This window comes from Homo sapiens, chromosome 3 (genome assembly GCF_000001405.40).
Source record: "Homo sapiens chromosome 3, GRCh38.p14 Primary Assembly".
In the NCBI taxonomy this organism is placed as follows: Eukaryota; Metazoa; Chordata; class Mammalia; order Primates; family Hominidae; genus Homo; species Homo sapiens.
The window spans coordinates 143,681,915-143,705,574 of NC_000003.12; the positions used below are offsets into that span (position 1 = coordinate 143,681,915).

The 23,660-nt window shown below is 36.4% G+C and overlaps 1 protein-coding gene across 5 annotated transcripts in view; it reads right to left on the minus strand.

The window, feature by feature from the left end:
* SLC9A9 (solute carrier family 9 member A9) overlaps positions 1–23,660 on the minus strand; it is a 583,247-nt gene that overhangs the window by 416,693 nt on the left and 142,894 nt on the right. For 4 of the 5 annotated variants that reach the window (XM_017006203.2, NM_173653.4, XM_017006202.3 and 1 more), the window contains one exon: positions 11,278–11,393. In XM_017006203.2, coding sequence (XP_016861692.1) covers positions 11,278–11,393 — 116 coding nt within the window. Of the gene's footprint in view, positions 1–11,277; positions 11,394–23,660 lie in introns of those variants that run through there. The other variant, XM_011512703.4, reaches the window with a different exon arrangement.

The following is a 23,660-nucleotide window of genomic DNA, read 5'->3' on the forward strand; positions in this document are numbered from 1 at the left end:
CACTCATGCAGGCTAATGTCAACTACTACCACCTTCCTACCACCAACGTCCACAGATTTCCACAACCCAAACCACTTTTCAGGATTCATAGCTTTCCAGTCTCCATCTAAAGACTTGTTTGAAACTGGTATCTAGAGGCTCATGCTACTCATTGTAGAGAAAGCTCACTATCTGTTATTTCTGTAGGGTTTGCATAAAGCTCAAGGCTTCACCAGGACTCAGCTGCATATAGGAACCAACTCCTCTTTGCCTTAGGAAAATCAGATAAATTACAGTAATAAAGGGCAAGAAAGCCAAGTTAAAGTCACTACTTTCCCAGAATCCACTGCTGACCTTCATGAATTTTTTTAAAGTGATTGTAATGTTAAGTTTTGAAATGACTCTCCTAGGGCCAAGTCACTCACCTCTAAACCTTAGTTTGCTCTTTTATAAAACAAGGGTGGTAAATTAAAGGAAGTAGCTCTTTCCACAAAAGTATCCTACAATTTTATTATTTTAAATCATTCATTTTATATCTAAAAGCATTGTGCATACATTGTCTGGATCAATGAAAGCAGCTATAAAAATTTGTATAAGTTGAGAAATTTTAACTAAACTATATATTTTATAATATTTAACATTATATTAGTTTGTCATTTTTGTTGTAATAAATTATAACAAACTTAGTGGCTTAAAATAATGCAAATTTATTATCTTATATTTCTGTATATTAGAAGTTCAACACATGTCTCAGTTATATCAAATTAGGGTAGCAGAGCTGCATTTCTTTCTGTAGGCACAAGAGGATAATCAGTTTCTTTGCCCTTTCCAACTTCCAGAGGCCACCAAAATTTCTGGGCTCTTAGCCCCCTTCCTCCATCTTCAAAGTCAGCAACATTATATCTTTCTGCCCTTTTCTTTTATAGCCACATCTTCCTCTGATTGCAGCCAGGAAAAGTTCTGCAACTTTCAGAGACCCATGTGATTAAACTGGGCCCATTCAGATAATCCAGGGTAATCTCCACATTTCAAGGTCCTTAATTTAATTAATCTTGTAAATCCCTTTTTGCTATTTAAGGTAATATATTCACAGGTTCTAAAGATTAAGGTATGGGCATCTTTGGAGGGCCATTATTTTGCCTACCATGAAATTTACTATTAATGTTTTAGGTGTGATGATGGAATTGTGGTTATGTTTAAAATTATATGTTTAAAAGGGTAGTTTATTTATGGGTGCATTATTTGACCAAGGGTGGCGATAAGTTCTGTACATTCCATTTAGATGAAATAAGTAGCAGCTTAAACTAAAAGTGATTGTGTGACTTCTAATATGATGCAACGTGATCGATCAAGCATCGCCTATTGAACATTCTTGCAAAAACTGAGGAATTCGAATCTAAGTAATCAGGACTCTCTGAAGCTAACTTTCACTTACAGAAATATGAGGATATAGGAACAATTAAATGATACTATGGGAAGTGACAAATCCAGAATGTGGTACATCTTGTAGAACTGACCCAATTTTCTCAATAATAGCATTTTTAAAAAAGGTAGGAAGGAGCACTGCTGTAGATTAAAGGAGAACGCAGAGAAGAGACAACTAAATATCACTTGTGAAACCTGTTTGAGTTATCAAAGGCAAAGGGCAAAAATCGGGAAAATTTCAGTGTGGATTGGTTATTAGATAATACCAATGGATTATGGAACAATTTTCAGGTTGGATAGTGCCGTCACGACATGTAAGAACCATGTCCTTCATCTTAGAGATGGGTACCAAAGTACATAGGGGTAAAATGATAATGTCTGAGATTTGCTTTTAAAAATTATGACCTCTCATCTATAAGAATAGATGTCAAAGTATATTTGTGTTTTATTCAAAGCAAAATTATCACATTACATATATTACACTCCCAACTTTAACCAGGCAACTCACAAATGAATATAGTTGGTCACGGGAGAACTAACCAGGTAGGAAGAATCATGGAAATTCATTATTATCATGAAAACAAGCAAAAATATACATGTCTCACTGTATTATACTGATGGAAAAATAGCAGCCCCATCTTAGTGCAGCATAAAAATAATGATGACAACATAACAATAAAAATAAGACATATTATCTTATTTAATCCTTATCAAGAACCTTTAAAATAAACCTTATAGTCCCATTTTATATTTGGAGTAACTGAGGCCAAGTGAGTCAGATAAAATGAAGATTTAAACATGACTGTCCCACACCACGAACAGTGTTCTTAATATTCAATGACTGCTCTATTTATTTGATAAGTATTTATTATGTACTGTGCAGAACTCAATGGGCCTTTTATATTGTGAAGCATCTGTGATGATCTAGTCATTAAATATTATCTAGTGTTGATGATGATACAGATAAAGAAATAGATCCTATTAAGCACTTGTGTATTTTGCCTTGTTTGGTGAGAGAACTGAACTAATAATTTACATCAAATAGATTTTTAAAATCTGAACTTGATGAAAAAAATCATGGACTGTATTTTCCAGCTGGCTATGCAGGTTGTCTCCCTTTACTCATTTTAGATAAGTATTTACTTTTCATATTGAGTCTACCCAATTTAGGAACATTAAATGTGTCAACACACTTTGAAACCATGCTAACGTAATATAAATACCAAGTTTCTTGAACCTGTGACATGTTACATAAGAGAAAACAGTAATGGGTGTTTCAAAAACAATGCTGAGATTGTCAGGCTTAAGAACTTATTTATATTCTTACAAAAAGAATACAATTGAGACATTTGGGCAGGAGTTTATTTAATCCACTGTCCCCAAGTCAGAGGCTACAGTATTTGTGGTTTAAATGGCACATATATGATATTTGAATCATATAGATATTTACCCTCTTTTATTTCTGAAGCTTGGGTATAAAGTAGTTTATAGGTTATTATGCATCAAAGCAGAAAAATGAGACTGGGAGGAGAGATTTTAGAAAGCAAATCTCAGACATATTAATTCAATCTCATAAAAATAAATCGCCTATATTTTACCAAATGGTATAATCTATGTGGTGCATTGTATCTGTAATTAATACTGTATTTGTATTTAATACTCAATTTTAAATTATTACAGTATTTCTATTAAGGGTCATGGTTTTGGTTTCCAACAGTTTCATTTCCATATATCTTTATAGCAGTGCTGTCCAATAAAAATTTAACTCAAGCCACATATGTAATTTTAAATATTCTAGTAGTCTTCTTAAAAAGGTAAAAAGAAAACAAGTAAAATTAATTTTATAGGATATTTTATTTAACTTGATATTAAGTGAATATTATTTCAACATGTAATTAATACTGTATAAAATTATTAATGAGATGTTTCACTTTTTTCAAATGATGTCTTGGAAATCTAGGGTGTATTTATACTTGCAGCCCATATCAATCTGGACTAGTCACATTTCTAGGGTTCAGTAGCAACATGTATCTCGTAAGTATCATGTCGGATACAGCAACTCTAGAATGTGCCCTATCTAATGTTACCTAAATCAAGACACCCTGGATTAATTCTCTAGGAGGAAAATTGGACAAGTCTCTGAATTAATAATTATTTTCTAGTTTTGAATACTGGATTAATACTTCTGGAGCTCAAAATAGTGCAGCTGTATTTGAGTCTCAATGCAGCTGCATCATGTAAAATGAAGATACTCTAATCCAAATAGGAAACAGGGAAATTGATGAAGTGAGAAAATGCACAGAACACATGTACTTGAATGAGTGGCTTCCTGAAGACCTTGGAGGAAATGTCAGTTCCATAAATACCAGGATGAGTTTCTGGCATCTTCTGGGTGATTATTTAATACTTGATGCAATGTGCTGAGTTCTTCCTTTTCCTAAAAGAAGCTACTATTTTGAACATCTTCCAACTTAGAAAAAACACACGATTATAACTGCTTCTTGCAAGTCCACAAACCATAGCTTGAAATGCTCTGGAAAATGTTCAGCCACTGACCACCAGATAAACAGAAGAAAGAAATATTTGCTACATGGTTGGACAAGAGGAAAGGCACATATCTTTGTTTTAGTTAAATATATCTTCTTTGGTGGACAGAAACTGATAAAGCCACTCAGCTATGTACTAGAAGTCCAGCTATGTGCTAGAAATGCAGCTATGTGCTGGAAGTCTACCCTCACCTTGGGAGACTGCCCTTCCAGGGGCCATGAGACACCTCATCCGCGAGGGTGACCTGGGATACTCAACTACTTCACATTTCATAATTGAAAAGAGATACCCTTCCACACTCCACACTTTGCCCTAGCAGTTTCTTCCTCAAGTTGTATTAATTCACTGATTTAACAGGTATTTATTAAAAGCTCGCTGTTCTAGATATCAGAACTGTAAGACTGAAAAGAGGAAAAAAATCCAGAAAAATAGAAAAAAATCTCCCACACAGAAGACAAAGAAGTAAATAAATAGGTAAATAAAGAACTAAATAAATTGATCAATAGTGATTAGTAATTAGTGATGTGGAGGAAAGTAAGGCACGGACAGGGGATAGAAAGCTCTGTGATTAGGGGTGTCTGGGCAAGGGGGTGCAGTATTTAATAGGGTGAGCAAGAAAGGCTCTCACTGAGGTGACAGTTGAGCATAGACCTGAAGAAGGTGGGGAGGGAGCAACAAGCGAAAATACACCAAAGCAGCCACAAAACTGGTATGTTCAAGGCTCATGGGTATGCTTGTATCTCCACATATCTTTACACACCTTAAGGACTCCCCTCTTTATCCACCTACCCGATATGAAAGGAGATTTCCAACTTGTTAATCAAAATTGTTATCTTGGATAGTCAAATTTACCAAACGAGACCCCAAGACAGCAATGAAAAAGACAAGAGGAGAGTATGAGGCTGGACAGCTCCTTGACAAGCTTTGGCTAATCGCAAAATGAGAGCTGTTAAACGAATCATCTATTTCCAGCTGTTTGGGCTTTTGCTCTCTTAAGTTTTGTTTATCTTTCCTCTCCCATTCCCCATCCTCCTAGTCTCTGTTTTTTGCACACACCAGAAGAAGAGCTGGCTCATTCATTGAGCCCTCTGTGTATTTCTTTCTTTCCCTGTCCTGCCATTTTCCATATACTGTCTCTTTGGTTGTTCTGCCTTTCACTGTCCACTTGTTAAGTGCTGATGATGACCTTTCCATCATCAGCAAGATCTTCATCAGTAAGGAAAGGAGGAGATAAAATGAATCAAATTATAGTCAAATAATCCCAAATGGAGCTAAATCGAAAATTGGCTGAGAGTCTGAAATGTGCAGAAGAATTAGATTTAAGACTAAATGTGTATCCATAAAAGATGAATATGAAGGAAATAATAACAGCTAGCTAATATTTAGCTAAGGCTAAATGGGAAATAATTAATTTTTAAATGGCCAAGAAATGTCAGACCTGCAGAGCATAGGTTTCCTCTCGTAAATTAGTGAGTCACAATAATTTAGGCAATAAATGAATAATTGTGGGGTAAGATTAACTAGGTGTTTTAAGGTTGTTGAAGATCTTAAATTGCACCAATTTAGCAGAGAGTGGGTTCGGCATGTTTTAATATAACAATTAGTTCCCAGTAAAAGAAGAGAATTTAAGGGTTCCTATTCATGTGTGGGTTTCTACCTTATGAGATATCTTTAGCATTTGTTGATTTGAGGTTGGAACCTCAGAATATAGTTAGCAGGCTTCGGGTTGACTTTCATTTTCCCTAAAATAAAAGATTGTTTTAAAATAAAAACCAGTCTCACAGGAATAAAAATCATGGAATGTTAGATCTAGAAGGATATTAGACCTTTAGTTAAAACTTTTTATTTTACAGATGAAGAGTCAGTTTTGTCTGTTAAAAAAAAAAGAAGTTGGAAGCAATGAGAAATGCTATCTTCTACTTCCAATAATGTATAAAATCGAAGTGGCTGCCCAAAGTTGCACAGCTGGTCCATGCCAAACTTGGAAAGTAGACTTGGGCCCCAGGATGCTCTTTATGGTTATGAGCCAATATTGTATTTTAAAAACTTCAGTCCACTCAGGTGTTTGATACGATGCAGATAAGTAACCATCTTACCAAGTTGGATCCCTCCCTCCCTCTCTTCCTTCCCTCCTCCCTCTCTCCCTTCCTCTCTCTTTTCCCTTTTTGCCTCCTTCCTTCCTTCCTTCCTTCTTCCCTCCCTCCCTTCTTTATTTCTTTTTCTTTCTCTCTCTTTTCCTTTCTTTCTTCTCTCTCTCTCTCTTTCTTTTGAGATGGGGTTTTGCTATGTTGTTCAGGCTGATCTAGAACTCTTGGCCTCAAGCAATCCTCCTGCCTCGGCCTCCCAGAGTGTTGGAATTACAGTCATGAGCCATTGTGCCCAGTCTGGATTTTTTTTTTCCATTTTAATTGGTTTTCCTGTGTTATCTAAACATAATTTCAGGGGCATCACCTGCCACGGAAGGAGCAGCACTTGACTACAACTCAGTTGTGTTTAGAGCTAGCTGAGTCACTCAGTAGAAGGCAACAAACTCAGCCTTCAGTGTTGGGACCAGGGAATGCTGGTTGCAGTGCTTCTGAACTTGAAGATGTGTGCAAAGGTGATGCAAAGTGAGGCCTGACCCTGAAAGCCAGAATATCTACGTATGGCAGAAGAGAACAACCTTAACTAGCTAGATAGGCTGAAAATTTATACTCTTGAGTCCATGCTTCCAGTGGCTGCCAAGGGACTTCCGCATTTCCCTTGGGCTGTGTGAGAGTGAAATCTTCTAGCAATGACATAGTGACCAGGCCATTCCTAACCCTGGGGATAGAGCAGTCTATCCCTGTATACCACTCTGGGGCTCTGATCTTCAATCTACACCATGGGTTCCAAACCTAAGACTCAGTTTCATTTCATGTTCTTTCAATCAACCTCTCATACCATAAGCAAAATAAAACATGACAAACCAGGAAAACTGTTTGTAACTTATATGACAGACAAAAGATTCATATTCCTAACATATTAAGGGCATCTAAACATTGAAATGCAAAAGTCTAATGACTCTACTGGAAAAGGGTATCTTATAAATAGAAAAAATATATATATAATTTTTATTATAAATTACATGAATCTTACTCATAATAAAATACAAAAATACAAACATACAATCTTACTCATAATAAAAGAAGTACTAAGCCATGCTATAGGGATATATAAATCCTCACCTTTCATATGGATAAACCCCCCAAGTTTTTATTGTCTACTGCATTGACAAGACTGTGAAGAACAAGTATTGTCATACATTGCTGGTATGAATGCAAACTGATACAAATTTTATGGAGGGGAGTTTGGCATCTAGGAAAATTACAAATACATTTACCATTATCTCTTTCCAGAAATGTCTCCCAAAGAAACACTGTCAAAATGTGAAAAGCTATTAATTTCAACACCATACATAATTGCAGAAGAAAGAACCCAAATTTCTATCAATAGAAGACTGATTGAATAAACTATGGGGTACTCTTCGACTACTAAAGATAATTAGAAAGATGATTATTATTATTTATTTTGAGACAGGGTCTTGCTCTGTCACTCAGGCTGGAGTGCAGTGACATGATCACAGTTCACTGCAGCCTCAGCCTTCTGGGCTCAAGTGATCCTCCCACCTCAGCCTCCCAAGTAGCTATAGCTGGAACTACTGGTGTGCACCACCACACTAGGCTATTTTTTTATTTTTTATTTTTGGAGAGACAGGGTTTCCCTATGTTGTCCAGGCTGGTCTTGAACTTCTGGGCTCAAGTGATCCTCTCACCTTGGCCTCACATAGGGTTGGGATTTTAGGTGTGGGCCACTGTTCCCAGCTGAGAAAGATTCTTATATGTTGTTATAAGGAGATCTCCAAAATACTGTTAATTAAATAAAAGTAAGGTGAAGAACCATGTGCGTAGTAGCATATAGTGGAATGTGTGCATGTTTGTGTATTTGCTTAAATTTAAAAATAGAAGGGTAAACCGAAAACCAACCAAAATCACTGAAAATTTAGGGTAAAGGAGACAGGGAGAGAAGCTAGATTTCTCTTATTTTGTTCTGTGATTTTCTTTTTAGAATCCTATATATAATCTAATTTTAAAAATTAAAAATAAAATAAAACAAATGAACATTATTATATATTGACTTGTGGCTCAACCACACAGAGAAATTATTTCAAGTGATTTTAAAAAGGGAATAATTTTTAACTGTACATCACTAGTGGGATATATCCAAAGGCTAAAAATAACCACAATAAAATCTTAAGCAGTTTTTAGTTATCATATTTTTAGTAACAATATATATATTATACTTTTGAGAATATATGTTTTAAGCAAGTAGGAAATTATATTAATGTGTGGGAAGAAAAAGAGTAGGCAGTAGAAAATAAAAACGAAAATAAAAATTCAAGGCAGTTAAGTTCATATAATACTAAATTTTAACTGAAAATATTATGAATTTGTGATATAATTTCTCCTTTTAAAAAAAGGTCTAAAAACAATTGACAATCCAGCAGCAATGCAATCCCTTAGTGCCCAGATTATGGTCTCTAACTAAATTTCTCTCTTAGAAAAAGCCAAGGCCTTTTGGAAAGAAAGGTAATTCCTAGGTGGGGTGCAGGAAATACACAAGATAAGGTTGAAATATCTAGTCTTACTCAAAAGCAAGAAACCTATCAAAAACTGTTGTCATTACAATAAAAGCATACAGGAGAAAGTTGAAGAGGCTCCCACTTGTCAAAAATGGCACCTTTTGATCATGAAAAAATATAATGACAACAGTAGAATGAAACGTATCATCTATGTAAAAATCCATGTGTTCATAATGATGTTTTTAGGAGGTCATCTCATTGGTCACATGTGCAGGATGCTACACAACACATTATTTTGAAAATTAGTAAATAAAGAGAAAAAATGGATTATTTGCCCTGCTTTTGTTGCTTAAATTATACCATTGGGTACTGAAATAATTGAACTGGAAAACTACTTCATTAAGGAGAGTACCACCAGCTAATAAATGCAAAAGGTAGGATTAGATTAGCATACCACTAGTTTGTAACCCCTAATAAATACTGGCTTAAGCAAAAACCATCAATGGGTACTAAAGCCATTGGATAAAATGGGCAACTCTAAAATGTAAAGCTTCACAAACTTTAATGTGCATATGAATCTCTTGAGGATACTGTTAAATTCTAGCATCTGATACTTGGTCTGTGGTTGAGCCTGAGATTTTACATTTATAACAAGTCACTATGTGGTGCCAATCCTGCTGGTCTGAGAAGTGATCCTCCCACCTCAGCCTCCCAAGTAGCTATAGCTGGAACTACCGAAGTGCACCATTACACAAGGCTATTTTTTTAATTTTTAAATTTTTTTTTGAGAGACAGGGTTTCCCCATGTTTTCCAGGCTGGTCTTGACCTCCCTGGCTTAAGTGATCCTCCCAACTTGGCCTCCCATAGGGTTGGGTTTATAGGCATGAGCCACCGCTCCCAGCTGAGAAAGATTCTTATATGTTCCTAAGAAACAGAAAAGTAGACCCACATTCGAGAGCTGGCCTGATACTCTTAGCTAGGCCTTGGCATTCTTCTGTTGAATAAAAACAACTTAACAGAATGACATCAGGCAAGGCTATTCTGTGACTATGATGGATCCAGACAAAAACAGTACTATTATGTAATTGTTGATGAACATTGTCCAAACCACAAAACTAAACAAACATCCCCCTATCCTGGCTATTACGAGTGACCACTGCTTCTTTACCAATTGTAGCTTTAGGTTCAATTGAGTCCTTCCTCCTTCTAAATAAGACTTAACTAAGATGCCCAGTCTTGGAGTTATTCCCACTTCCTGACAGCATCAAATCCAGACCAAAGCCCTGATGCCTTAAACCCTCACTAAAATAACCAAACATAAACCGAAGTCCTATAATAAGTCCTTTCTAATACCCACTGAGACATAACATGATTCCCCATGGTATTCACTTTCATTGCAACGAGTAATAAAAGCATCTTGTTCAACTATAGGTTGTGTTCTGGTAGTCTTTGCTAGAGTAGCAATCCAATAATATGATGGATCAGGCTGACAGCTCAGTCACCAATCACTATTTGCCTCTGGAGGTGATGAAATAGAAGGGTCCCAGCACCACCTTTAAAGTAATCATACCAAAAAAGTTGAACCTGAATCTGATTAAACCTCTGACTCTAACCATCAGTTTATAAGAAATACAGGGCACTGAGGAATATTTTAAGGAGCTATATTCGATTCAACCACAAGACAAATTACCTCTTTTTTTTTAAACAAATAAATGACAAGAAAATAAAAAATAAAAGGGAAACTTCTAGATAAAAAGAGGCCCAATAATCATATCAATCCATTGTAATATGCTGCCCTTGTTTGGATCTTGATTTGTGCAAACTGCTATACAAACAAATAATGACAATAAGACAATTAGGAATATTAAAACAATGAGTAGATTTTGGACAATATTAAAGAATGATTGTTTCAGGTCTTACAATGGCAATACTCATTTTTCAAAACATTTACAAAGAAAATAATATGATTGCTAGAATTTGCTTTAACATAATCCAGTCATGATGAGAGAGTGGGTGTGGAGGGGGTATAAATAAGGTGATTGCCCATATTTGATAATTGCTGAAGGGCATATGCCAATTCTTTTTACTATTCTCCCTATGTCTGATATGCTTGAAAAGTACCACAGTAAACATTTTTTAAAAATATCTTTAAACAACTTAATTTAATACATCATTCTCAAAAGAAGAGAAGATATATTCACTGGAGAGAAATTCAGGATGATAACTCAAAATGGCTACATGTTCTAGAGCAGGGGTGTCCAATCTTTTGGGTTCCCTGCACCACATTGGAAGAAGAATAATTTTCTTGGGCCACACATAAAATACACTAACACTAACGATACCTGATGAGCAAATAGAAAGGTCTGTGCATAAATCTCATTACGTTTTAAGAAAGTTTATGAATTTGTGTTGGCCAGCATTCAAAGCCATCTTGGGCTGCATGCAGCCCATGGACCACTGGTTGGACAAGCTTATTCTAGAGAAATAAATTGTAATGACTTTAAAGATCTCTCCCACTACTGAAATTACTTTCTAACCAATTTCTTTAGCACTATCAAAATATTCCCCTTTTCTTTTCTTTTGTAATTACTAACAGATATGTCAACTGCAGGTGAAGAAAAATAGAAATTATTATTATGTAGACGCAGGTGATGGTCTTGGGGAGAAACATTCAATTTAAATGTTTGATTCTTAAAAGAAGAAAATATATTATTTGAGCAATTACCTGGATCTGTAGCAGACATCAGTGAACCAAAAAATAAACAGTCAGTGAAATGAAAGTCTCCATTTTTCAGCTGGCCAGCATGTATCATAGCCTTCACAAAACCATACATAATTAACCTGTTGAAGAGAAAAACATGACCTTCAAACATCAAGATGAACCCTGTGTAAACCCATGCTATCATAAGCCACATGCTAATGTTTTTCCTGAATACGTATCATGCACAAATTGCCACCATCCTGCCAAATGACAGCCGTGCTAGGTCTCTGTACACTGGAATCTCTTGGCTATGAAAGACAATTTTACCAAATATCACAATTTATTCACTTGGTAAAAGGTAATGCAACAGTTTATAGTATATTCCAATGAAAACAAGATAAATCTCAAAGATATAAAAAATAATCTGTCAAATGTGGCACAGCAAATCATATCCAAAACCACAGCAGCTGTGCTGACATTTGTAAATTGATTGCTTTTCAGTTTTCCTTGTTTTGTCACTGGCGGTGTCTGAAAAGGGTTCAAATTTCAAGTCCATCACTGTGATGAGGAGGATATTGGCCAATCACAAGGCACTCAGTCAACCAGTCACTTTATAATAGATGAGTCTCTGCTGCTAGTGGTGTCAGGACACTTCCACACTGGGTAGAGAATCCCTGTTAGGTTAGAGCATGTATAACTCCAGGTCACTGTTTAAAATGAATACTGAAATAGTTGCATTGCGATCTTTCAAGGAAAGATTACATAACCTTACTGTGCCCACACCATGGCATGCAAATTGTCTGTTTTGGTCATCATTTGCCAACCTATAGCTTTTAATTGGTATTTAATTATTTAACTGACTGATTGATTTTGCTAAGATCCTAGTAGAGGAAATAGAGAGGTGGGTGAACTGAATCACAGTGTAATTTAAGAACTGTAAGAGTCTTTAGAAACTATAGACCATCAAACCAATAGATGGATGTTTAAACACTCACGTGAACTTAAAGTTAGTTCTCAGGTTTTGGGCATAGCTAAAAAGGCTAAAAGTCAGATATTTAAAAATGTCAATAAGAATGCAGATATTTTAAATTACGTTAAAAAAAAGTATCACTATGAGAGAATATTTCAGACCTACCGGCATTTAAATCCAGGCTCTACTATCTACTATCTATATGATTTTAAGTTATTACTAAAACTTTCTGAACCTGAATATCCATGAGGTAGGGATAACAGTAATAGCCCACAGAATTGTTTTAAGGATTAACTGAGGTAATACATATTTGGTGTCTGGCACATAGCAAATTCTCAATGAGGTCACTGAGGCTAAAAATAATGATCAAAATAGTAGGTAACATTTACTTACCATTTCTACTTCTACACATGCTTTATTTAACTCATTAAATACCCACATCAATGGTAATATTTTTCGTATTTTTAGCAAGAAAACTGAATATAGTGTGATGAAGTAATTTGCTTAAGGTGACACAGCTATTAAGTTGTGAAGCCCAGATGTGAATTGAGAAGGTCTGGCTCTAAAGCCTTGGCTTTTAACCATCACACTGTATTGCTTAGATCAACAGTTCTATATTTTACATGATATGTTATCTCATGTAGTACACCCTCAACCATCCCATGAGTTAGTTGCTCTAGGTAGTCCAAAAGACAGCAATGAAGTATCCCTAAGAACTTAGAAATAATTCTACCCTCTGAATTGAACTCTTAAGCCAATCCATAATGGTTTAGAGCACAGGGGCCCAACATTGCTTTGCAAAGCATGGATTCTAGAAGGGGAGGCTGAATCTTAACCAGGCTGAAGGTATTAAATATCTGAGAAAGACTGTCAGTGGGACACAGCATGGGAGCTGGGAAAAGGCAAGTCTAAGAGGCCTCATTCTTGGCAGCTCATCCACACTTATCCAGAGGACAGCACACTGCCGGTTACCAGGTGCACAGTCTCTTGACAAGTATAGGGTAGCTTCATTCAGCTTATTTATTCATTCAAAAGATACTTCTTTTATTACTATTATTATTATTATACTTTAAGTTCTGGGATACATGTGCAGAATGTGCAGGTTTGTTACATAAGTATATACATGCCATGGTGGTTTGCTGCACCCATCAACCTGTCATCTACATTAGGTATTTCTCCTAATGCTGTCCCTTCCCTAGTCCCCCACACCACAACAGGCCCCAGTGTGTAATGTTCCCCTCCCTGTGTCCATGTGTTCTCATTGTTCAGCTCCCACTTATGAGTGAGGACATGCGGTGTTTGGTTTTCTGTTCCTGTGTTAGTTTGCTGAGAATGATGGTTTCCAGCTTCATCCATGTCCCTGCAAGGGACATGAATTCATCCTTTTCATGGCTGCATAGTATTCCATGGTGTATATGTGCCACATTTTCTTTATCCAGTCTATCATTGGTGGGCATTTGGGTTGGTTCCAAGTCTTTGCTATCGTGAATAATGCTGTAATAAACATATGTATGCATGTGTCTTTATAGCAGAATGATTTACAATCCTTTGTAAATCCCAGTAATGGGATTGCTGGGTCAAATGGTATTTCTGGTTCTAGATCCTTGAGGAATCGCCACCCTGTCTTCCACAGTGGTTGAACTAATTTACACTCCCATTAACAGTGTAAAAGCAGCTGTTGTTTCCTGACTTTTTAATGATTGCCATTCTAACTGGCGTGAGATGGTTTCTCGTTGTGGTTTTGATTTTCATTTCTCTAATGACCAGTGATGATGAGCTTTTTTTCATGTATTTGTTGGCTGCATAAATGTCTTCTTTTGAGAAGTGTCTGTTCATATCCTTCACACACTATTTGATGGGGTTATTTCTTGTAAATTTGTTTAAGTTCTTTGTAGATTCTGGATATTAGCCCTTTGTCAGATGGATAGATCGCAAAAATTTTCTCCCATTCTGTAGGTTGCCTGTTCACCTGATGATGGTTTCTTTTGCTGTTCAGAAGCTCTTTAATTTAATTAGATCCCATTTGTCAATTTTGGCTTTTGTTGCCATTACTTTTGGTGTTTTAGTCATGAAGTCTTTGCCCATGCCTATGTCCTGAATGGTACTGCCTAGGTTTTCTTCTAGGGTTTTTATGGTTTTAGGTCTTATGTTTAAGTCTTTAATCCATCTTGAGTTAACTTTTGTACAAGGTGCTTCTTATTGATCCCCTACTATGTGTCAGGCTCCATGCTAAAGGCACAAATTATATCAGTGAACAAACAAAGATCCCTGCCCTCATGGGGCACACAGTTTAGCAGGATAGACAGCAATAAGACACAATCAGAAATTCAAATTATAACTGTTATCTACATTACTTTCTGATCAACACTGGGACATTCTGGACAGTCATGGCATTAGCAGAGAAATGCTCCTCAGTATTCATCCCTTCAGCCTCTTCTGGCATTAGCCCAACTTCACCTTGGCCCTTTGTCACTTGAACTACAGTTCAAATATTGAATATCAATTGGTTCTGGAATCAATATAAACTTTGTGATCTGTCACTATAGTTCTGAATTCTATATCCATTAGTTAATTTTGCAAGTTAGGAATCTGAGGCTCAGAGTTAAAATGACTTGTTCCATATTGTACAGAAGCCATTAAATTGGATATTATAAAAAATATATGTATATATACTACCAAGGTATGGCAGGGTTACATGGAAACTAGAAGCCTCATATACTATTGCTGGAAACGAAATTAAAGTTTTTATGGAAAACAATTTGGCAATTTATTCTAAAAGCATTAATTTTAGAAAATATTCTATAGCTTATTAAATAGTTTCCTATAAATTTATACCAAGAAATTAATAAAATATGTACCAAAAGATGTGAATTTAGATCAAGATTCCTGTTATTTACAAGAATGAAAAATTCAAAGCAATCTTCTACATGTCAAATGAATGAATAACATAATACATATGATGACAGACTAACATGCAACTATTAAAACTGTATATAATAATATATATTAGAAAAATAAATTGATAACACAAATTATAAAGTGATATATAAAATAAAGTATACTGGGCATGGAAAAGTAAATTATTAAGACAAGTTAATGATTATATCTAATTTTATAAAATTGAGTATACTTAGGCATACATATAAACAGAAAAAGTTAGATGCATACAGCCTCATGTTATTGTTAATAGTGGTTATATAATAGAATTCGATGACTCCTCCTTTTTGCTTTTCTGCATTTTTCCAGTTCTTTTTAAATAATAGCCATAATAAAAACAAAGAACAATGTACATTAGTGAGTGCTATTATGGACACAATAGTTATTCATTGTGTTACTTAATCCTCACAATTCTATGAGCTATGTTCTATAATTATTCCTTTTACAAATGAGAAAAGTAAGACTCAGAGAGGTTAACTAACTTACCTAAGATCACAGAATTAGCTTGTGACAAACCAGAGTTTGAATCCAGGCAGCTGGACACCAAAGCCTACATACTTAACCACCAACTCTATAATGCTTTTGAAATCAGGAGAAACATGCATGTGTGTGAGTACACACACACACACACACACACACACCCCACATACAGTTTGCTTTTTCAAAAAAGAAAGATTACTTATTTACTCCAAATCAACTCCTTGACTTAAAATAACCATAATTTCAGTCACTTCCTTGAGATAATACAAAAAATAAAAATAAAAAGCCCAGTTCAGTTCAAGCTCGTATGGTAATTGTTATTATTACAAACATAGCAAAGGCCATTATCAATGCTAATTATAATAAGCCAACAATTACTATGCACCTACAATGTGCCAGGCACTCTTATAAATGGTAGCTATTGTTATTGTTGGCACATTATTAATAAAAAACCAATTAGTTATAACTACATTAACTGGGAGGCTAAAAAATGAAGCCACCCATTACCAGTCACCGTATCCTCACAGAGTGGTATATTCTTTCTGTCATCACTTCATAGAAGGCACGATGACTCAGGACAGGATAGACGCAATTTGATGGACGAGAGATTCTGGTGAAGTCTAGTGCATACAATGCCCTGAAGATGGCAAACCTGAGTCAGATGTCCTCCTGTGGACACTCTGAGGTTAGTGACAGCCTGGGTTACAGGGGTGGACAGAAGCAGAAACTGTCTCATAAAAACTAAAATCATTAATAACATTGATTTCAACAAATATCCAATTAGTAATATCCTTTGAAAAACAGAGTGCTGGTGCTATAGTGCATATAAAGACAGAAATCCATGACCTGCTCTCAAAGAGTAGGGACTCACAGGATGGCAGTCATAAATTTTACTCTAATAGAAGGCATTGCATAAAAGGGGATTTGGGAAAATGCTTAACATACTCATTTCATTTAGAGTTATGACGCACACACTGATTTTAAATTTCATGAGGTAGTTTCACACTATTAAAGCCCTACACTTAAAGCTATGTTATAAAAATGTTTCAATACAAAAAGTTCCAGAAGTTTTAATTGTTTGGATGATTTAAAAATATAGTAACTTAATCTCAGTATTCTTTAAAAAGGAATCCTCCTCCTCCTCCCTCTTCTTTTTTAAAAATAACCTTCACTAAATTATGAATAGATCACCCGAAAAGGCAGTTTTTTGAATTGTTAGGGATAAGCAAAGGAAGTTGTCAGTTTGGAGATAAAGCTGTGTGGACCAGTCCCATTAACTGTCAGAAAAGCCACGTCCCTGACTGAAAAACCTTGTGAAATAGGCCACTGTGTACAGCTTGCTCTGCAGTGGGAAAACCCAGGATCTACATGTGCTGGAAGCAACATGAAAGTTATGATCTACATCTAAATTTCTGAATTTTATACCCAAATGTCCTTTGGGAAAATATCATGCCCTACTTATTTGTTCAGATTTTATGGATAGTTTCAATTTCACATTTTCTTTTTTCTGAAGCATGTGTTCAAGGGCAATCCCTCTCAGAACTCATAAACTGTGCTAGGCTGGAGAGGACTGGGAAGTTCCCCTAGTGAAATTCATTCATTCATGTATTCATTAATTTACACATTGACTCATTCATTCAACAAATAATTAATAATATACATAATTCCTATTCTAAAAGACTTTTTATTTTGAGATAGAGGTAGAGCAAGACGGTAGAACAGAAGGCTCCAGTGATTGTACACCCCACAAATATAACAATTTAACAACTATCTACACAAAAAAAAAGCAACTTAATAAGAACCAAATAGCAGGTGAGCACTCACAGTACCTGGTTTTGACTTCATATAGCTAAAAGAGGTACTGAGGAGGGTAGGAGACAGTTCTGAAATGCCAATGCCACTCCTCCTCCATCTCCTGGCAGCAGCAGTGTAGCATGGATAAAGAGAATCTGTGCTTCTGGGACAGGAAGAGTGCAGCAATTGTAAAACATTGTACTGAACTTACCGGTGCCGTGTCACAGCAGAAAGCCAAACTGAGCTGAACTCAGTTCATGCCTTTCCACAGAGGAAGTATAAAACCAGCCTTAGCCAGAGAGGAATTGCCTATCCCAGCGAATAGAACTTGAGTTCTGCCAAGCCTCCCCACTGTAGGCTAAATTCCTCTGGGGCCCTAAATAAACTTGAAAGGCAGTCTAGGGTACAAGGACTCAAATTCCTAGGTGATTCTGCAGCTCAGTGCTGAACTGGGCTCAGAGCCAGTGGACTGGGGGCATGAGACCTACTGAAACACCAGTCAGCGTGGCTAATGCGGTGCCTGTGTGACCCCTCCTTCAACCGTAGGCTGCACAGCTCATGGATCCAAAAGAGATCCCTTCCTTCTGCTTGAGGAGAGGAGAGAGAAGAGTAAGGAGGACTTTGTCTTGTATCTTGGATATCAGCACAGCCACAGTAGGATAGGGCACCAGTCAGAGTTGTGAGGCCCCTTTCCCAGGCCCTAGCTCCCAGATAACATTTCTAGACACACCCTGGGCCAGAAGGGAACCCACTGCCTTAAAGGGAAGGGCACAGTACTGGCAGGACCCATCATCTGCTGACCAAAGAGCCCTTGGGCCCTAAATAACCAGCAACAATACCCATGTAGCATGTCATGGGCCTTGGGTGAGACTCTGAGACTTGCTGATTTCAGGTAAAACTCAGCACATTCCCAGCCTGTGGTGGCTATGGGAAGAGTCTCCTTCCTGAGAAAAGTAGAGGGAAAAGTAGAAGGTATTTTGACTTGCACCTCAGGTATCTGCTCAGCAACAGCAGGACAGAGCACCAGGCAGACTCTTGGGCTCTTGGACAGCATCGGTAGACCTGCCCTGGGCCAGAGGGGAGGCTACTGCTCGGAAGAGTGAGTCCTAGGCCAGGTAGCATTAACTGCAAGCTGACTGAAGAGAGCTTGGGCCTTAAGGGAACATTGGCAGTGGCCTGGGAGTACTTCCTGTGGGCCTATAGTGGTGACCATGGGGTGAGGTCCCTCTGCCTGTGGAAAGGGGAGGGAAGAGTGGAAATGACTACATCTCACAGTTTGAGTACCAGCTTAGTCATAGTAAAACAGAACATCAGGTAGACTTGTAAGGATTTTGACTCTAGTACCTGGCTCCCACACAGCACCTCTGGACACATCCAGGGCTTAGGGGAACTTGCCACCTTGAAGGGAAGGATACAAGACTGGCTGGCTTTTCCACCTGCTGATGGTGGAGCCCAAGGGCCTGGCAGCAGCCAGGGAGTGGTTACAGCAGGCCTTGGGCAAGACCCAGTGCTGTGCTGGCTTCAGGTCTAACTTAGCACAGTTCCATTGGTGGTGGCCACAGGGGTACTTGTTTCACCTCAACCCCAGGTCCAGGCAGCTTAGAACAGAGCAAGGCTCCATTTGTTTGGGAGAAAGTAATGGAAGAGAACAAGAGTCACTGCCTGGTAATCTAGAGATTTCTCCCCAATCTTACCTAAGGCCTTCAAGGCAGTACCTCTTCGAGTCTGCAAGAACCACAATGTTACTGGGCTTGGGGTGCCCCTGATGCAGATATGGCTTAGATAATAACACCCAAGTCTTTTAGAATACCTGGAAAGTCTTTCCAAGAAATATGGGTACTATCAAGTCCAGGCTGCAAAGACTACAATAAATAGCCAACTGTTAAATGCCCAGACAAAGACAAACATCCACAAGCATCAAGACCACCGTGGAAAACATAACCTCACCAAGTGAACTAAATAAGGCACCAGGGAACAATTTTAAAGCAACAGAGATATATGACCCTTTTGACAGAGAATTCAAAATAGCTGTTTTGAGGAAACTCAAAGAAATTCAAGATAACACAGAAAAAGAATTCAGAATTCTATCAGATAAATTTAATGAAGAGATTGAAATAATTAAAAAGAATGAAATAGAAATTCTGGAGTTGAAAAATGCAATTGACACATGAAAGAATGCATCGGAGTCTTTCAACAGCAGAATTGATCAAGCAGAAGAAAGAATTAGTGAGCTCAAAGACAGGATATTTGAAAATACACAGTCAGAGGAGGCAAAAGAAAAAAGAATAAAAAACAATGAAGCATGCCTACAGGATCTAGGAAATAGCCTCAAAAGGGCAAATTTAAGAGTTATTGGCCTTAAAGAGGAAGTAGTGAAAGAGATAGAGGTAGAATATTTATTTAAAAGGCTAATACAGAACTTGCAAAACCTGGAGAAAGATATCAATATCCAAGTACAAGAATGTTACAGAACACCAAGCAGATGTAACCAAAAGAAGACTGCCTCAAGGCATCTAATAATCAAACTCCCAAAAGTCAAGGATAAAGAAAGGACCCTAAAAGCAGCAAGAGAAAAGAAACAAATAACATACAATAGGGCTCCAATATGTCTGGCAGCAGACTTTTCAGTGGAAATCTTACAAGCCAGGAGAGAGTGGCATGACATATTTAAAGTGCTGAAGGAAAGAAACTTTTACCCTAGAATAGTATATCTGGTGAAAATATCTTTCAAATATGCAGGAGAAATAAAGACTTTCTCAGACAAACAAAAGCTGAAAAATTTCATCAACACCAGACCTGTTCTACAAGAAATGCTGAAGAGAGTTCTTTAACCTTAGAGAAAAAGATGTTAATAAGCAATAAATAATCTGAAGTTACAAAACTCACTGGTAATAGTAAGTACACAGAAAAACACAGACTATTATAACACTGTGTCTGTGGAATATAAACTATTCAGATCTTAATTAGAAAGGCTAAATGATGAACCAATCAAAAATAATAACTACAACTTCTCAAGACATAGACAGTACCGTAATACACAAATTGAAAAAACAAAAAGTTAAAAAACAGGAGGACAAAGTTAAAGTGTAGAGTTTTTATAGGCTCTCTTTGCTTATTTGTTTGCTTATGCAAACAGTGTTGTTATCAGCTTAAAATAATGAGTTACAAGATAGTATTTGCAAGCCTAATGAAAACTGCAAATCAAAAAAAAATACAATAAACACATAAAAAATAAAAAGCAAGAAATTAAAACATACCACCAGAGAACATCACCTTCATTAAGAGGAAGAGAGGAAGAACGAAAGAAGAGAAGACTGGAAAACAACAGGACAACAAATAACAAAATGGCAGAAGTCCCTACTTATCAAGAATAACATTGAATATAAGTGAACTAAAGTCTCCAAAAAAAGACATAGAGTGGCTGAATGGATGAAAAAAACAAAAAACAAAACAAGACCCAGTGGTCTGCTGCCTATAATAAACACGCTTCACCTATAAAAGTACACATAGACTGAAAATAAAGGGATGGAAAAAGATATTCCATGTCAATGGAAACCAAAAAAGAGCAAAAGTAGCTATACTTATTTCAGATAAACTAGATTTCAAGACTAAAATTATAAGAGACAAAGGTCATCATATAATGATAAAGGAGTAAATTTAGCAAGAGAATATAATGATTGTAAATATATTTACACCCAACACTGAAGTACCCAGATATATAAAGCAAAAAATTTTCGAGCTAAAGAGTGAGATAGACCCCAATACAATAATAGCTGGAGACTTCAACATCCCACTTTCAGTCTTGGACAGATCTTCTAAACAGAAAACCAACAAAGAAACATCAGACTTACTCTACACTATAGACCAAATGCACCTAATAGATATAGAACATTTCATCCAATGGCTAAAGAATACACATTATTTTGCTCAGCACATGGATCATTCTCAAGGACAGGACATATGTTAGATCACAAAATAAATCTTAAAACATTAAAAAAATTAAAATAATATCAAGCATCTTCTCTGACCATAATGGAATAAAACAAAAAAATAGTAACAAGGAGAATTTTGGAAACTATACAAACACATGAAAATTAAGCAATATGCTCCTAAATGACAGTGGGTCAATGAAGAAATTAAGAAGGAAATTGAAAAATTTCTTGAAACAAATGGTAATAGAAACAAAACATACCAAAATCTATGGAATACAGCAAAAGCAGTACTAAGCAGGAAGTTTATAGCTAAAAGTGCCTATATCAAGGAAGAAAAAAAACTTCAAATAAACAACCTAATGATGTATCTTAACGAACCAGAAAAGAAAGAGCGAACCAAACCCAAAGTTAGTGGAATAAATGAAATAATAAAGATCAGAGCAGAAATAAATGAATTTGAAGACAACAATACAAATGATCAATAAAACAAAAAGTCAGTTGTTTTATTTTGTCCAAGAATGGGCAAATATTTAGTCAGAATAAGAAAAAAAGAGAATGAAGACTCAAATAAATAAAATTAGAGATGAAAAAAGAGACATTACAACTGATACCACTGGATCATTTTAAAGGATCATTAGTCGCTACCCTGAGCAACTATATGGCAATAAATTGGAAAATCTAGAAGACATAGATAAATTTCTACAGTCATACAACCTACCAAACTTGAACCTTGAAGAAATCCAACAGATTTGGATTGGTCCTAAACAGACCAGTAACAAGTAACAAGATTGAAGTTGTAATAAAATGTCTCCCAGTAAAGAAAAGCCCGGGGAACCCAGTGGCTTTACTGCTTCTATCAAAAATTTAAAGAACTAATGCCAACTCTGCTCAAACTATTCTGAAAAATAGAGGAGAAGGAGGGAATACTTTCACATTCATATTATGAGGCCAGTATTATCCTCATAACAAGACCAGACAACGACACATCAAAAAAAGAAAACTGCAGATCAATATCCTGATAAATATTGATGCAAATATCTTCAGCAAAATGCTAGCAAACTGAATTCAATAACGCACTGAAAACATCATTCATCATGACGAAGTGGAATTTATCCCAGGGAAGCAAGGATGTCTCAACATATGCAAATAAATTAATGTGACACATATGAACAGAATAAAGAACAAAAACCATATGATCATTTCAATTGATGACAAAAACGCATTTGATACAGCTTAACATCCCTTCATAAGAAAAACTCAAAAAACTAAAAAACCAGCAATTTCACCTCTAGGAATATATACAAATGAAAGAAAATCAGTATATTGAAGTATATCTGCACTCCTATATTTATTGCAGCGCTACTCACAATAGCCAAGATTTGGAAGCAACCTAAGTGTCCATCAACAGACAAATGGATTAAAAAAAATGTGGCTTGGTGTGGTGGCTCATGCCTGTAATCCCAGCACTTTGGGAGGCCAAGGTGGGCAGATCACCTGAGGTTAGGGGTTCAAGACCAGCCTGACCAACATGGAGAAACCCCATCTCTACTAAAAATACAAAATAAGCTGGACATTGTGGTACATGCCTGTAATCCCAGCTACTCCAGAAGCTGAGGGAGGAGAATTGCTTGAACCTGGGAGATGGAGGTTGCAGTCAGCTGAGATGGCCCCATTGCACTCCAGCCTGGGCAAGAAGAGTGAAACTCCATCTCAAATATCTATCTATCTATCTATCTATCTATCTATCTATCTATCTATCTATATAGATATAGATATAGATATATAGATATATATATTATGATACATATACACAATGGAGGTCTATTCAGCCATAAAGAAGAATGAGATCCTGTCATTTGCAACAACCTGAATGGAGCTGGAAGTTATTATGTTAAGTGAAAGAAGCCAGGCACAGAAAGACAAATTTCACGTTACCACTCACTTGTGGGAGCTAAAAATGAAAATAATTGAACTCACAGAAATAGAAAGTAGGAAGATTGTTAACAGAAGCTGGGAAGGGTAGTGGGGGTGTGGAGGAGGGGAAGTGTGGATGGTTAATGGGTACAAAAAAAAGTTAGCAAGAATGAATAAGATCTCATATTTGTTAACATAACAGGGTGACTACAGTGAAAAATAATTTGATTATACATTTTTAAATAACTGAAAGGGTATAATTGGATTATTTGTAACACAAAGAATAAATGTTTGAGGTGATGGATACTCTATTTACCCTGATGTGATTATTATGCATTGCATGCCTGTATCAGTGAATCACATGTAACGCATAAATATAT